Source organism: Homo sapiens, chromosome X, assembly GCF_000001405.40.
Source record: "Homo sapiens chromosome X, GRCh38.p14 Primary Assembly".
NCBI classification, from domain to species: Eukaryota; Metazoa; Chordata; class Mammalia; order Primates; family Hominidae; genus Homo; species Homo sapiens.
The window spans coordinates 113,991,310-114,008,414 of NC_000023.11; the positions used below are offsets into that span (position 1 = coordinate 113,991,310).

The window sequence follows — 17,105 nt, forward strand, 5'->3', positions numbered from 1 at the left end:
GTATAAGAAAACTAAGATGCGTTTTTGGTAAAAGGTTATTAAAAAAAGGGAATGTGGTTTTTATTAAAGGGAAATTTGTCTAGTTTAGACATTTTTAAAGATTGTCTTAAGCAAAAAGAAAGGACACAACTGAAGGTTTAAGCAAGTTGTAAAAATTTTAAGGAAAATCAATCTTGTAAAAACAATTCTGTTCATAAACAAGTTGGCTAAACTTTAAAGAGGATTTTTTTGTCTGTAAATTAAACATTAAAATAAAAATCCACACTAATGCAGGGCCAGAATCTAGACCTCAGTGCCAAAATAACAGGGTTTTCTTGCAATGTTGATTTGTTCTTCTATATATATATATATATATATATATATATATATATACATATAAAGGGGAGTTTATTAAGTATTAACTTACATGATCACAAGGTCCCATAGTAGGCTGTCTGCAAGCTGAGGAGCAAGGAGAGCCAGTCCAAGTCCCAAAACTGAAGAACTTCGAGTCCGATGTTCGAGGGCAGGAAGGATCCAGCACGGGAGAAAGATGTAGGCTGGGAGCCTAGGCCAGTCTCTCCTTTTCACGTTTTTCTGCCTGCTTCATATTCACTGGCAGCGGATTAGATTGTGCCCGCAAGATTAAGGGTGGATCTGCCTTCCTTAGCACACTGACTCAAATGTTAATCTCTTTTGGCCACACCCTCACAGACACACCCAGGATCATTACTTTGTATCCTTCAATCCAATCAAGTCGATGCTCAGTATTAACCATCACAGTGAGTGACCTGTAATTCCATTTTGTGGTATCGAGTGTTTTGAACCTTTGATATTTGACAAACTTTCTAAAAATCAAATTGTAAATTCAGTCTCTTGGCCTAAAACTAACTTTTCAGAAGGCCAAGAGAGACATACTTGGCTTATTTGGCATGTTAAAATTATACAAGAAGCACTGTCAAATATAAAATTGTATTTAGATTTTTTTGGCTTACATTTATATAAATGTGTTATTAATATGTTTTCCAAAATTATATATATATATACTATTAGTTATGTCCCTCTAGAGAACCCTGATTAATACACTCACTTTGAAATAAATCATTCATTTATCCAAAGTGATAACGCAAAGATGTTTTTTAGAATAAGCAGAAAATTTTACTCTGATAAAAAGGAGACTAAGTTTCGCAAATAATAAAACCTAATCATATTAGACAGTGTGAAGCCAACTGAATCTGTCTCTCTCTCCCCCTCCCCCCCCCGTTTATTTTTTTTTGGTAATTTATTCAAAGAGGCAATTACATGAAATCTTGCTCCAGAGAGAAAAACAAATTTTACTTTTGCATTCGCATGTTATTAATGCTAAAGCTAATTTAATACATCTTATAAACAAATCTATTTAATTTTAATCAGGCGGAAGCACTGGTTATTTTACCAAGGCTTTGACTGGAATGGCATATTTTCAGAAATGAGAAGACTGCTTTAAGAATTGAGATTGACTTTATAGAGCCAATAACAGCCCTTTGGAAAAACTGGCCTCACACCTTATCTATGCAGTTCCTTTGCAGGTAGGTTCCTGATCTGCAGTAGGTAAAGAATGCCACTTTCTGACAGACCCAGGGGCCCCAAATTATTTTGGGACATTAAAAAGAGAGGAATCCACCCAATTAATATAAGTATATGCAGGCACAGATAAATCCTTGGCTGGCTGTGGCTTGAGGCTTTTATTTAGAAGGTCTAATCTGAGATTCTTCATGAAAAAAATACTCCAGCAAAGCCAATTTAAAAATGAGCCATATGGCAAATAATTATTCTTGCTGCACTTTATGCAAAAAATCAAGCCGAGTATAATAAGACGAAAACTTCTTTTGCAAATAAATTGATCCTACTACAATTTCATCTTTAGTTAAATTGGGGAGTTGGAAAGAGAAAAAATATTTTTCTTTTTTTTTTTTGAGACGGAGTCTCGCTCTGTCGCTCAGGCTGGAGTGCAGTGGTGCGATCTCGGCTCACTGCAGGCTCCGCCTCCCAGGTTCACGCCATTCTCCTGCCTCAGCCTCCCGAGTAGCTGGGACTACAGGCGCCCGCCACTACGCCCGGCTAATTTTTTGTATTTTTAGTAGAGACGGGGTTTCACCGTGTTAGTCAGAATGGTCTCGATCTCCTGACCTCGTGATCCGCCAGCCTCGGCCTCCCAAAGCGCTGGGATTACAGGCGTGAGTCACTGCGCCCCACCGAGAAAAATTATTTTTCAAAAGAAGCTATAGTACACCTGTTATTAGATTGTAGCCTTGTCCACTGTGTTTCAGGTTTTATTATTTTCTACAATTTGGTACGGATTCTGAAATTTTTCGTGGTTACAAGTCTCCAAACTAATATTTGCCTTTTTTTCTCCCATTTTTCTGACTTGAAATCACTAGAAATTAAAACTGTGGTTTTCTTAAATCCTTGCAAACTAATGTTAGACGACTTAAGCTTTGGGAGAAAATAACAGGAAATTATATATAAATAAATTTCGTACTTGCTTGCTGATGTATAGACATCAGGGTTATACGGCCTAAATCAGTTTTCCGGGATTGCTTTTCCCATTTGTTATTATGATATTTCCTCCCTCCTTTTCGTTCTTTTCCATTTTCTTTCTCTTTCTTCCTCTCCCCGTTTTTCTCCACAAGACGTAAGACTTCACAGCCTACTAAGAATAAGCTTTCCTAACGCTGTGGGACCTATTTGTCTAGGAATAAATCATCCTAGTGATGAGAGATCAGACAAAATATGAGACCATGAGACCAGAGACTCCTTTTCTTCCAATATGTTTTCCGTGAAAGATTTTTTTTTTTTTTTTTTGTGAGGGAAATGGGATAGGAAAATAAAATCTTGGGACCCCAAACTCACTAAGCCAAAGGGAAAAGTCAAGCTTGGGAACTGAGTCACACAAAATTGCCTCCCACTTTTGTTCCTACAAAGATGAAAATTCACATAGCTCCCCAGGAGCCCTCCCTCACAAGGAATTTGCTCACAAGGAAATTCCTTGTAGGCCCCAAGATCTTTACCCTAAAACAGTCTTGTTGAATTTCACCCTGACAATGTAATTAACAGCTTATCTTCACGGGTACAGGACAAAAACTGGACCAGAAGTCATCTCTGACACAATGACACACTTTCCACCTGACACAAATGCATATTAATGCAGATTCACTGAACATGAAACAAATGCATAATTGACTATTTCTGTACCCCCTCATTTCACATGTAAAATATGGATTCAGTGAGCATTGATCAAAACCTCAAAAGAGTAGTACCACTTGCCCCTTTTATCTGCTCCCCTTTCTCCGCTTGTTTTTCTTTCCTCTTTCTTTTATTTCCCACTCTTACCCCTTTTAAGTATTGAAGTCCCCAGGCCTTCACTGGAAAAAAAGCACAGATCACAGATCTTCCTGTGGTTTTGTGTTCTTTTTCCCAGGGTGCATCCTCAACCTTGGCAAAATAAAACCCTAAAATGATTGAGACCTGTTTCTGACACTTTTTTTTTTTAACAGAGCTTACATAAGCATTCAGTCCATTGCATATAGCAAGGTCAAGGGACAAATTTTTCCAATAGATGCTATATCACTTCCATCTCCCTTTCCTTTTATTCAGCTATACATGCACTTATACACTCAAACTCAAGAACAAAATCTCTAATAACTTTGTGAAAATCATCTCTTCTCAGGCTTGCTCACCAATTCATTGCCAAGAGTGCTCAGATATATCTGAATATTAGGCTAAAAGAAAGCTGATCTTCTACTATAGGTGCCTAAGGGTTTAGGTATTTTTTATGTCTTATTAATATATGCTATCTACATAAATATATTCTAGTCCATCTTCTTACTAACTTGCTATGGACGTTTAGCCAGAATAATTGGTCCAAATCTGATTTTTCTTATGTGCAATATAAGAAGATGGGACCAAAACTAGAAGTTATTTAAGCCTAAGATCATTTTCATTTCAGCTGTTTCATTGTTTCATTCAGTTGTTCCATTTAGCTGTGATTCTAAGGGCAGAATCAAAGAAGATGTATCATTAACCTAAATTTAAATTCCCTCTTAGATTCCCTGATAAAAATTCACATATTATAATGATCAGTCAATTGATAATCAATTTTATGGTACATTTACTATTCAATTGATAAGTACTCAACTAAGAAACTACAAATTCAAAGAAAGGGATTTGTTTTTTATGTCTCAGATATATATATTGGATGATAAATCCTCAGTGGTCTTTTGTCACCAATGAAGATTTATAACTTTTAATTTTTCTTTAATGAATCCTTCTGTCTGAACTTGCTGTGGTCACTGGTAATATCTCAAACAGGTAGCACACAAATGTCATTACAGAAAGATATTTTTGAGATGTAAATAATAACATTTATAATAAAATTGAAATCAAATGGGAAATCTTAATGAAAATATTCTGTAAATGACCTTTTTGGTAAATGGTTTGGTAAGTGGTTTAACATATAAAATTTCTCCACAAACCTTGTGCTTTAGTTTAGTAACCTAAAACAAACAATAGAAAAGAAAAACATAAATTAAACAAATAATTTATTTAAAAGTATATTTTACAATGATATTTCCTTTTATCATTTTATTCTATTATGAAAGCTACCAATTTGGTGCTTTTTGTGAAAATTATAATTTTTAATCCTATAAAACCATCAAAAGTAATGTCATTAATTGCCTAGCAGAATTGGAAATTCTATGGACTTTGGAGTAAGACCAACCTGGGTTCAAATCCTACTTTTCTATAGCCTGAAGCAAATCATTTGACCATTTAACCCCTGTGAGTCTTGGTTTGCTAATCTGTAAAATGAGAATATTGTTAGTTCATATTCTCTAGGATTTATCTTTTTAATTAATGAATAACATTTAGCTATTGGCTCCTGGCATATAGTAGGCAACCAGTAAATGTTAGTGCTAACCAAAATACCTTCCTCTAAATGCCCAACAAACACAATAAAATATAAGTTCCCCACAATAATACTTTCTCCCTCTATTATAGTTATCAGTGAATTATTTAATGATGGACATGATTGTTTGATCTAATTAAAATAGCCAGACTCCCCAATAATTGGTATCTTCCTTGTGTAGAGCTAATAGGTTAAAAAAATTAACCATCAATTTTGCCCAGAGTCATATAGCAGAAAAGGCAAATTTCACAGTAGAATAATTTGCTCATTCAACAAATACTGTACATCTACCTTCAGCTGGCTACTTTGTCATGCACTATAAATATAAAGATGAAAGACCAGTCACTGCTTTCAAGGTTTAGTGGGAGAAAATAATTTCAGAAGATTATTATAGTACACAGTGACAGAAGTGAGTGATGGGTACTTAGTGAAAGAAGAGTAAGTGAAGATGTTGTTTGTGGAAGACCATAGTAAGAGATTTCTGGAAGAGGGACACCTGAGCTGAATCTGAGGATGAATAGGAATTTACAGATTTCCAAGAGCAGGGAGACTTGAAATATTGTAATGACTTATGGTTGAATTTGGTATATGGAACATTGGTGGAATGTCAACAGGTGAAACCGGAGGTGTTTACAGAGGCTTGGAAATAATGAGCCTTCTATATCACAGTACAAAGTTTGTATTTTAACCAGAAGCTAAGGAGAAAAAAAAAAGGATTTTGAGCAGGAAATAAAATGATCAATCAGCATTTTAGAAAAAAAAAAATACTGGCAGTGGTGTAGAGAATACCATTTAAAAAGAATGGGATTAGTATCAGGTACTCTGGGTAAGAGGTTATTGGTCACAACCCAGGAGGAAATGATATGTACATGAACTAAGGCATTGACAAGGGAAAAGAAGACAATACAAACACTAATAACAAAATAGGATCAGCAGACTTTGAAATCTGTTGATATGAGGAGTTTTAGCAAAACAAAGGCGTTCTCACTTGAGCTATAGAGAAAATGGTATTTCTATTCATCAAGTTCAGGAATTCAGGGAGACTTGCAACTACAGCATGGTATGAATTGGGAGTAGAAGAAATGGTTTGCGCTACCTGTGAAACATCTCTGTGAGATTGTGCTAAAGCTCAACATAGATATAGATACAGACACAAATACAGATAGATACAGATATAGATAGATACAGATATAGATATCTGGAAGTCATCATGATCTTCACATAAGGGGTAGTTTAATCCCATAGGATGAGATGAAACTCTTCTGGGGCATGCTAAGAGTATTGTTTGTATGTGTTCTTCACACAGCCTACATCAGAAATATCTAGTGGGGAGGACACAAGCTCTTGACCCTCTAAAGGTTCACTAAAGATCACCAACATGAGGTAGATTGATTAATAGAAGAAAAGGCATACAAATTTATTTAACGTGTATATATGGTAGTCCTTCAGAATGAAGACCCAATTTGCCAATGAGTTATAGAAACTTATATGCCATCCTGAGGCCACAGTAACATATGTAGAGTTAGAGCATGGCCAGAAACAGCTACTGTTGGTAAATCAGGATTGGTGGCAAGACAGGTTAAGAGAGAGAGAAAGGAAGACACTTGGCTAGCAAAGGTGGCCTTGTTAGGTAGATGAAGACTTCCTCAAAGAGAATAACTGGTAAATTTTTCTTTTCAGATTTTTAATGATGTCAGACTCTCAATTTCTCTTGGATCCAGGGAAAGGCATAGAAAGGGAAGGGGGCATGGTTGCATCAATGGAGATTCTCTACAGACACAAACTTTCCCCACAAAAGACAGCTTTGCAAGACCACTTCTGTTTGCTGGCCAAGTGGTGGCCATTTCAAAGTATGTCAAAGAAATATATTTTGGGGCAAAATATTTTAATTTCCTTCACTAGAATGCATCATGACAATGTTCCACTCCTGACATCAAAACTTTTGAGAATTGGCTCAGGCACTCTATATTTTGGAAAAGGGATCCTTTAGCATAATAATTGTGAAGATAGGGACAGAAACCTGTTATGGTAGCCAGCCTCCAAATCGACCCCTAATAAGCTCCATTTCCTGGTATACACATCTTTGTACAGCCCTCTTCCATGTTTGACCATGTTTGATCTGTGTCACCAGTAAAATATGGCAGAACTGGGCCGGGCACAGTGGCTCACGCCTGTAATCCTAGCACTTTGAGAGGCTGAGATGGGAGTATTCCCTGAGGTCAGGAGTCCAAGACCAGCCTGGCCAACATGGCGAAACCCCGTCTCTACTAAAAATACAAAAAAATTAGCTGGGTGTGGTGGCGCATGCCTGTAATCCCAGCTACTCAGGAGGCTGAGGCAGGAGAACTGCTTGAACCCAGGAGGCAGAGGTTGCAGTGAACCGACATTGCGCCATTGCACTCCAGCATGGGTGACAAAGTGAGACTCTCTCAAAAAAAAAGAAAAAGAAATGGCAGAAGTTATGAACATGGTATGTCATTCTTACATTAGGTTACAAAAAGACTAAAGCTTACATCTTGAAGATTCTCTCTCTGATTGTTGTCTCTAAAAAAAGCCATCTGAGAACACTATGGTAGTCTATAGAGAGGCCCACATGTTGGGTAACCGAGGCCTCCAGCCTACAACCTGTGAAGAATTGAGACCTGCCAACAACCACATGAGTGAGCAAGTAAGCTGAGTATAAGACCCGTTGGACCCAGTCACGACTTCTGATGACAGCAGCCCTAGCTACTATCAAGACAGCAATCTCATGAGACGCCCTGTACCAAAACCATGCAGCTAAGTCACCCTTAGATTCCTGATGCTCAGAAACCCTGACAAATAAATGTTTGTTGTTTTAACCTGCTAAGTTTGGGGATAATTTTTTATGCGGCAATACATGTGACAGATTCCATATGAAAAACACAAGGCAAGATTCGAAATCATTAACTGAGGTTTTAATGAATATGTAAAAGCTCTTTTCTCTTTAATCAATTAATATTGGCTTATGAATTCACAGATACTTATCAGATGTCTTCTCTGTATGTACGTATTTATTGCCTGTTTCCTCTATTAGAATTACAGTCACTTGGACACAGGATGGGGAACATCACACACCAGGGCCTGTCATGGGGTGGGGGGAGGGGGGAGGGATAGCATTAGGAGATATACCTAATGTAAATGAAGAGTTAATGGGTGCAGCACACCAACATGGCACAGGTATACATATGTAACAAACCTGCACATTGTGCACATGTACCCTAAAACTTAAAGTATAATAAAAAAATAAGAATTACAGTAATCACCTCACCCCAGGTGTTAGCACTGAGATTTTTTGGTTTTAGCACTGAAAGTCCCACATTCCAAGAAACCTCTTATGTTCCATTTAAACCAGGACAGTTGGTCACTCTAATGAAAATGAACCAAGAAGTAAGGGACAGTTTATTGTTTATTACTAGACACCAGTATCTAGAACAGAACCTAACATATAGGTGGTGTCTAAAAAATATTTTGAATGAAGGAATCAGCGAAATAGCACTTTATGTGTTTGTTGATCATACCTTCCCTAATGTGGCAGCAAGCTGAGTGTTGGGCTCCATTTGAATGGCACACTGTGCATTTAAGTCACAATTGGAAGGAAAGTTGGTAGAGGGGTACTAACCATGGGATTAAAACCAATTAAAGCTGATTCTTTCATTTTACTCTACCTAGAATGAGAAATCATTGGAAGATATAAAACAAGAGAGTAAAATAATTTGATTTATAATTTTAGAAGATTACTTCGGATACTCTGTGACAAAGGACTGTCATGGAGCATGAGTGCCAATTAGCTGAGCATTGTACTAGACACTGTAGATAATTTGGAAGTATGCAAATACAATGTAGTTGGAAAGCAGAATTAATGAATAGAAAACAGTTACCAATATGAAGTAAGTATACAACTATGATGCATTAGTGGTGAAGATTCTAAAGGTGACAGAATTTCAAAGGGAGAAAATAAGAGTAAGTGATGTAGGACAACTAAATAGAATAGATAAGGGATGGCATTCCTGGCAAAAGAAATGAAGTCACAGATGGCATAATAAAGATGGTATGTTTGGGCCGGGCGGGGTCGCTCATGCCTGTAATCCCAGCACTTTGGGAGGCCAAGGCAGGAGGATCACGAGGTCAGGAAATCGAGAGCATTCCGGCTAAAACGGTGAAACCCCGTCTCTACTAAAAATACAAAAAAATTAGCTGGGTATTGTGGCGGGCACCTGTAGTCCCAGCTACTCGGGAGGCTGAGGCAGGAGAATGGCGTGAACCCAGGAGGCAGAGGATGCAGTGAGCCGAGATGGCACCATTGCACTCCAGCCTGGGGGACAGAGTGAAAGATGGTATGTTTATGATAAAGGTGATAGCTTGCACTAATTAAGCCTGAAGATTCTTTTTAGTGAGAGGTAGGCTATTGGATAGTTAGGCCAGGCCTAGTTCACACTTTGATGACGTTATCCAGGCAGTAGTTTGAAGTGCAGAAAGTTGGTTGCCACTCTTTCTTTTATTGATGTGATACAGTATGTCATTAAATGAAAGGTTATGGGGAATTGAGGATACAAAAGAAAAAAGACCTAAATCTTCTTCCCTCATTCTAATTACATTTGAGATACTTATCCAACTCACTGATTTTCTTTAGTAGATCTCGAGGAATAAGATCTACACAAGACACAGCTGGTACAAATACTCAATTGTCCTTGTGGCAGAAAATAGAGCTCAGAGGAGGGATTTCAGTGAAGGGCAGCCCCACAGGAGAAGACTGAATTCGGATACTCAAATTCATGGCCAACAGGCCCTGTCATCTCTAGGAAGATATTTGTGGCTTGTTACTCCACTTAAAGTTGACAGTAAAATTTATCCATCACTGACCTTGCCAACTGCCTATCATTTATTGCTTGATAATGAGGTTTTTATTATTTATTTATTTATTCATTTATGAGATGGGGTCTCCCTCTGTCGCCCAGGCTGGAGGGCAGTGGCGTGATCTTGGCTCACTGCAAGGATAATGAGGTTTTCAATGCTAACTTTAGATTAATGAAATCAATGACCAATAATATATTCTAAAAATTCAACAGCAGGACTACCCTTTTTAGTATGAAAGGGTCAAGATCCTTTAAATAGAATAACAATTTTATTATGGACAATCATTTTCTTTTTATTTAATAACTTAACAGTGGAAGAAATGGCTTGAGATCAAGCCTTTTACTATATAATACACTGATTCGTAGACAAGGTCAGAGCAATTTTTACTCAATGAAATATGACCATTTTACTCTTCAATTTCAGAATGAAAATCAGAAACATTTGTTTTATAAAAAAGTGTTCGTCTTTCTCACTCTGTGGAATCAACCTTGTAAATTGCTTGTGATGCTCCTGGCAGTAAGTTATTCCAGTTCATCTTTTCTTTTTTTATTTTTAAAATTTTAAGTCAAATGTATATATTTTTTCAACTTAAATTTCTCTCTTGGCTTATTATATGGATAAAGCCTGTGTGAAGATGGTTGTTTTAATTAGCTACCACAAATTAAATATTATTCTTAAAGAAAAAATTTCAACCAGTTCATAATAAATCACATTAAATCTGAACATACAAGTGACAAGAATTAGTGAATATTTATTAAGTATAAGTTTTAGAGAGTTAGCACTTGGGGACAAAGGCAAAGTTGGGACCTGGCCGGATCTATGCTCTCCAGAAGGACTCCATGGCCTGGACTATTTTTTCTGACTTTGCAGCTAATCAAATCTGCCTACCATATTTCCTATTATCTGGGGTCTACAAACCCCAACTGTTATATTTGAAAGTGACAAAATGACTAATCCTTTTCAGGGTATAAATGGGTGAATGTGGCTTAACGTGTTAACTTTCATCTTAACTAGGCCCTCCTAGAGATCTTGTAACTGCTACAGAGGATTTAATCCTAACGGTACCATCAAGCAGCTTGTAGCAAGAAAAGGAGGATAGATTGATACCATTGGTCATAGCTACCAAGTCTATTTTTATGGAAGGCTACATCCCTAATGATATCTTGTGAAAAATAAGTCTTATAAAAATATCTACATTAATTGGACTTTAAACTAGAAATAAGCAAGTAATGTAACAAGACATAGCAGACAATATGTGGTTTTATATATTCAGTAACACATGACTTCTCCAACCTGATGAGTCAATATTAGTGCATTACCATTCATTCATTCAAGAGACACATCATGAACCAGATACAGATTTATAAAGCAGAGGAGCAGAAGATAGTTCATTAGTTATTGTAGGGGATACACTACTCTAACAAAGACATCCACAATTACTGCGGATTTCACAATAATATTTACAATATGAGATATACATTTATTTTTCTGTCAAATCCAGACTGGGTTAGACAGATAAAATTAAAAAAAAACTTCTTTTCATCTTATTGCTCCATTCTCTTCTAGGGTGCTGATTTTGTCCACAAGGTTCAAACTAACCTTTGGGAAGGATAAACATCAAAATTCAGAGAAATCAGCATGTCTTTCTGGTAGAAATGGCTCAGATCTTACACACTTACTTACACTCACTTTCCATTGGTTTAAATTTGGTCATGTGGTTACACCTATATGCAAGGGAGGCTAAGAAATGAACATTTTAGCTAAGTGTGTAGCTATTTGAGTGAGAAAGGTAAAATAGGTATTGGTGGCATTAATAGTGGTCTTAGAATGGAGTGCTTTTCCATTCCATTCTAAGCTGTTTTGAGTATTCTACAGGTGCTGGGAATTACTTAAAGGTTTTACACAGAGTAGTGCTTTGAAGAACAGATTGGAGGGGTATAAGATGCTGAGATACCACATAGGATGCTGTGGCAATAGTTCCAGGGAAGAGATGACTAAGTCCTTAACTAAGGTAGTAGCCTACTTTTATGGTTTATACTAAGTTTTACACTCAACTGCTCAGCACATTCAAAAGGGGAAAAGATATATGCTAACTGGAAGGAGGGAGTGGCACCTACTTAATATAGTCCCATTCTCCTACCCTCTATTCCAAGGCAGAACACTCTGAACATTCTTCTCTTTGGAACAGATATAGCTAACGACAAATGTGATATTAATGGCTCCTCATTAACTATTGTACAACAATATGGGTTTTCATTTTTTTCTAACTGCAGAAAGCTGGCGAGAATAATATAGCAACAATCCCAGCAGATACAGTATTATAGGTGGAGCCCTAAGATAAATATTTTCACAAATTCCACATGATTCTTAAGAACAGTCAGAATGAGCAACACTATTAAATTATCAAGATACAAAAATTAGTAGTGATAATAGACATTTATTTACAGTATACTCTTAAAACACATTTTATAGATTTAAGGATCAATAACAGAACAAAATTCTATGATTGGGGCTGGGCATGGTGGCTCATGCCTGCAATCCCAGCACTTTGGGAAGCCAAGGCAGGTGGATCAGCTGAGGTCAGGAGTTCAAGACCAGCCTGGCCAACATGGTGAAACCCTGTCTCTACAAAAATACAAAAGTTAGCCAGGCATGATGGTGGATGCATATAATCCCAGCTACTCAGGAGGCTGAGGTGGGAGAATCTCTTGAACCCAGGAGGTGGAGGTTGCAATGACCCAATATCATGCCATTACACTCCAGCCTGGGTGACAGAGCGAGACTCTGTCTCAAAAAAAAAAAAAAAAAAAAAAAAAAAAAATTCTGTGGTTGGTAACATGGGTATTGATGAGCACTTTGACATAGGACCCTTAGAATTTGAGATAATTGATATTTAGACCTGCTTACTATATGCCACCAATATTGAAAAATCATGTCAATCACAACTATATTCCATATAATTCTTATTAATCAATTAATAGAAACATTCTTAGTAACATCACAGACTCAAGGTTGCCTTACAGACTCAACATATTCATTGCCCTTTCCTGCCTCACCTCATGTTACCCTAGCCATCACTTACTCGGCTTTTTCTGTTCTATATAGCCTCTACAAGAGTGCCCTGCCCTAAATCACTTTACACTTACATTTATAATGGACTCATTCTTCTCCACCCCTTCCAGCACTGTACAGATTTTACTTTTCAACTTTCTCGTGACCAGTTCTCTGCCATGCCCCAGCTTCCATGTCCTAGCACACCTGATATAACATGTCAGACCATGCCCTGATTTGCCTGACCTTGTCTTGTTCAGCTCTTCCTTGCTCTGGGTATCTCTGCTATGCCCTGCCTTATCCCCCTTTCTCTTTCTTTTTTTTTTTTTTTTTTTTTTTTTTCTTTTGAGACTGAGTTTCGCTCTTGTTGTCCAGGCTGGAGTGCAATGGCATGATCGTGGCTCACTGCAACCTCGGCCTCCCGGGTTCAAGCAATTCTCCTGCCTCAGTCTTCCAAGTAGATGGGATTACAGGCGTGAGCCACCACGTCTGGCTAATTTTGTATTTTTAGTAGAGGCAGGGTTTCACCATGTTGGTCAGGCTGGTCTCGAACTCCTGACCTCAAGTGATCTGCCTGCCTCGGCCTCCCAAAGTGCTGGGATTACAGGCGTGAGCCACCATGCGCCGTCCCCTTATCTTACTTTTTCTGAATCATACCTTTACTGAAAGGTACTATTCAATCCCTCCTGGACTTTTTCAAACCCTCCTTACTCTGTTGGGCTTGAACCTACCCCTACATTTTCTAATGTGCCCCACCCTGCCCTGAACAGTCATTTCCTGCCCTGCACAACACTTTCCTTCTCTGCTCTGCAATTTTTATAGCTCTCCTGATTCCTGACTGATGATACCTTTCTATCAAATAGACCTTGAGTAAAGCTCTGATGTCTGTTATTCAGCAGTAAGATGATGGCAATGACCTGAGACACTGCTAGTAAGTATCCTGGCACTAGCACAAGATCCCTGAATTCTGAATTTGTATGTGTCAAAATTTAACAAAGCCCCCTCTTTAAATTCAGGTCTAGAAACTGTCATAAGCTCTTTTTTATTTAATTCAAGCTTTATATGAACAGCTACAGATAGCCGAGACAGAGAGCAATTTTAACAACTATTTCAAAAATCATAAGTTACATTGAACTTTTCTAGACTATGATACAACAACAAAATATCAATTCAAACTGGAAAAGAAGAAATGAAAAACAACCAGACTGAATTTATATATGTAAAATAATGAACAATAGGCACAATTTATAAACTATTTTCTACTATTTTACTTCTATTTTATAGCATTTCAAAATTACCTAAAACATCTTTTACTAGTCTTATTTTCATGAAAACATAGGTATTTACATTTTGTATAGATAGACAAGAACTGTAGCAAAACAAGCTTGACAACAAGAGAGTTATATTGAATGCTAAAACAGTCAAGAGAAATTTGTTACATAAAATAAAGAACACAGAAAAGACATGTTTAATTTTGTTTTAAATTTTTCTCAATTTTGGTAGTCAGTAAGTGATTTTTAAATGTATATCCTTGTGTTATCAATAATTCGTATCTTTCAGCTTATCAGTGTAGAGACAGGTATTTACAACAGAGTACCTAATAGGCCATGTGATTATAGGTCCAAGGGTTTGCGTTATAATTTCTCTTTAATTAAAGTTGATTCTTTTAGTGTGTAGTGGGATGAATGGTGGTCTCTAAGAAATCAGGTTCCTAATTCCTGAAACATGTAAATGTTATCTTATTTAAAGAATGGGTCTTTGTAGATGTGATTAAGAATCTTGAGATGAGGCAATTATCCCAGATTGTTGAGGTGGGTCCTGAATGCCAATACAAGTGTCCTTGTAAGATAGATGTAGAGTAAGACTCCATTCATGTAAAAGAGAAGGTGTTGTAAAGATTGAGGCAGAGATTGTAGTAATATGGCCACAAGCAAAGGAATACTGTGAGCCACCAGAAGCTGGAAGACGCAAGGAATAGGTTTTTTCCAGAGAGAGCATGGCTCTGCTGACACCTTGATTTTGGATTTTGGACTTCTGGCTTCCATAACTGTGAGAGGATAAATTTGTGTTTATTCTTAAATGATCCACTGTATTAGTCCGTTCTTGCATTGCTGTAAGGCACTAAGTGAGACTGAGTAATTTATAAAGAAAAGAGGTTTAATTGACTCACAGTTCTGCAGGCTGTACAGGAAGCACGGCTGGGGAGGCTTCAGGGAACTTCCAATCATGGCAGAAAGTGAAGGGGAAGTAGGCACATTTTCACATGGCAGAGGAGGAGAGAGAAAGAGCAAAGGGGGTAGTGCCGCGCAGTTTTAAACAACCAGATGTCCTGAGAACTCAGTCACTATCATGAGAACAGCAAGGGGGAAAGGAAGTCCACCCCATGATCCAATCACCTCCCACCAGACCCTTCCTCCAACATTGAGAATTACAACTCCATGTAAGATTTGGGTGAGGACACAAATCCAAACCATATCATCTACCCAGTTTATGGTAATCTGTTACAAATGCCATAGGAAACTAATAAGAGATTTTTGTACCAGGAAATGAGATGTTGCTGTAGCAAATGTTAAAAATGTGGAATTGGCTCTGGTATTGACTAATGGGTAGAGGCTGGAAAACTTTTAATAACATGATAGATAAAATGTACATGCCTTGAGCAGACTGTTGATAGAAATGAGGATGTTAAAGACGCTGCCAGTGAGGACTCAAGAGGAAGTGAGAAAAATAGTAGAGGAAATCTGTATCATATTAGAGAATACATATTCTGCCTGTCATCATGAACAGAATGTTGGTAGAAATATGAACATTAAAGGCACTTACAGTGAGAACGCAGAAGGAAATGAGAAACATATTATTGAAACCGGAGGAAGGATGACCTTCATTATATACTGATATAAAACTTAGCTGAACTGTGTCTTATAGTTGTGTGCAAAGCAGAACTTGTAAGTGATGAACTTAGAGGTTTAGCTGAGATTTCCAAGCAAAATGTTAAAGGTACATCCTGGATTTTTCTTGCTGCCTGTAGTAAAATGTGAGAGGAAATAGGTAAATTGAGGGAAGAACTGTTAACAATAGCAACAAAAACCAGAACTTGATTTGGAAAAATCTCAGCCTATCCAGATTGCAAGACTTGCTAAAATTACAAGATTCACAGTTAATAAAGGATGCTCTAAAGAGAAGGCCAAGGATGTGGCTAGATAACCCTGGCTAATGCCATGAAGAAATCTTAAGTTTGAAGTATTCTCTCACACAGAGGGCTCTTTGTAGAGATGAAGCTTGTGACTCATGAATCTACTCAACAATCTCAGCAGACTAGAGATGAAATTATCTGGGAAAGGTATGAGAGGGATTCTCTTGTTTAATGGTGTGAGTATCTGTAACATATACAGAACACCCACAAAGTTTTTAAGAATGTTATATCAGCAGCAACACACACAGCTTGGCCTGAAAGGTACTGACAGAACAGTGAAGAAAGAATGCCTCTGAAGGCAGATCCTTGGGCCCACAGGCGGGGACTACAGAATCAGAACAATTCAACTTCTAAGTATTTACCCAAGAAAAATGAAAACACATGTTCACACAAAGAAGTGCACATGAATGTTCATAGTAAGTTTATTTACAATAGCCAAAAAAATAGAAAGAACCTGAATTTCCATTTGAAGAAAATAATCAAATTGTGACATATTCGTGCAATGCAATACTACTGAACAATAAAAAGGGATTATCTAAAAATATACATAAAATATGAATAAATCTCAAAAACTTTATATTGCACAAAAGAAGTCACACATGAACATTTTATACTGTAATATTCCATTCCCATGAAGTTCTGGAATAGGCAACATTAAATGTGTGAAGGGATTGATTGGGAAGGGGAATGAGGGAACTTAACTGGAGTGTTGGAAATGTTCTTGGTCTTGATAGGTGTGAGTTATAAGGGTGTCTGCATTTGTCAGAACACATCAAACTGTTCACTTACAATTTGGGAAATTTACTCTGTAAATAATAATTCATACTAAAAATTTTCATTCACAATCTCACCAAATTAAGTATTATTCTTAATACATTATTCTTCTTTATTCTTCAAGGGTCCCCTTGAAGGGGACCTTTATTCTTCAAGGGTCCCCTATTTGAATCAAAATAAAACACAAAGTTCATACAAAGCCTAGAAGAATATCCAAAACCTGACCCCACCAACCTTTCTAATATTTTTTTTCCTACTCTTCTTATGAATTCTGCTCCATCCACACTG

The 17,105-nt window shown here is 37.2% G+C and overlaps 2 annotated features.

Annotated features, from left to right (window-relative positions):
* Positions 1,526-2,040: an enhancer, noted in NCBI's record as "H3K4me1 hESC enhancer chrX:113236070-113236584 (GRCh37/hg19 assembly coordinates)". NCBI's record gives its function as "activates a minimal SCP1, AML or CMV promoter by ChIP-STARR-seq in naive H9 embryonic stem cells {active_cell/tissue: H9 hESC(naive)}" and the evidence as "EXISTENCE:reporter gene assay evidence [ECO:0000049][PMID:30033119]".
* Positions 2,041-2,554: an enhancer, noted in NCBI's record as "H3K4me1 hESC enhancer chrX:113236585-113237098 (GRCh37/hg19 assembly coordinates)". NCBI's record gives its function as "activates a minimal SCP1, AML or CMV promoter by ChIP-STARR-seq in naive H9 embryonic stem cells {active_cell/tissue: H9 hESC(naive)}" and the evidence as "EXISTENCE:reporter gene assay evidence [ECO:0000049][PMID:30033119]".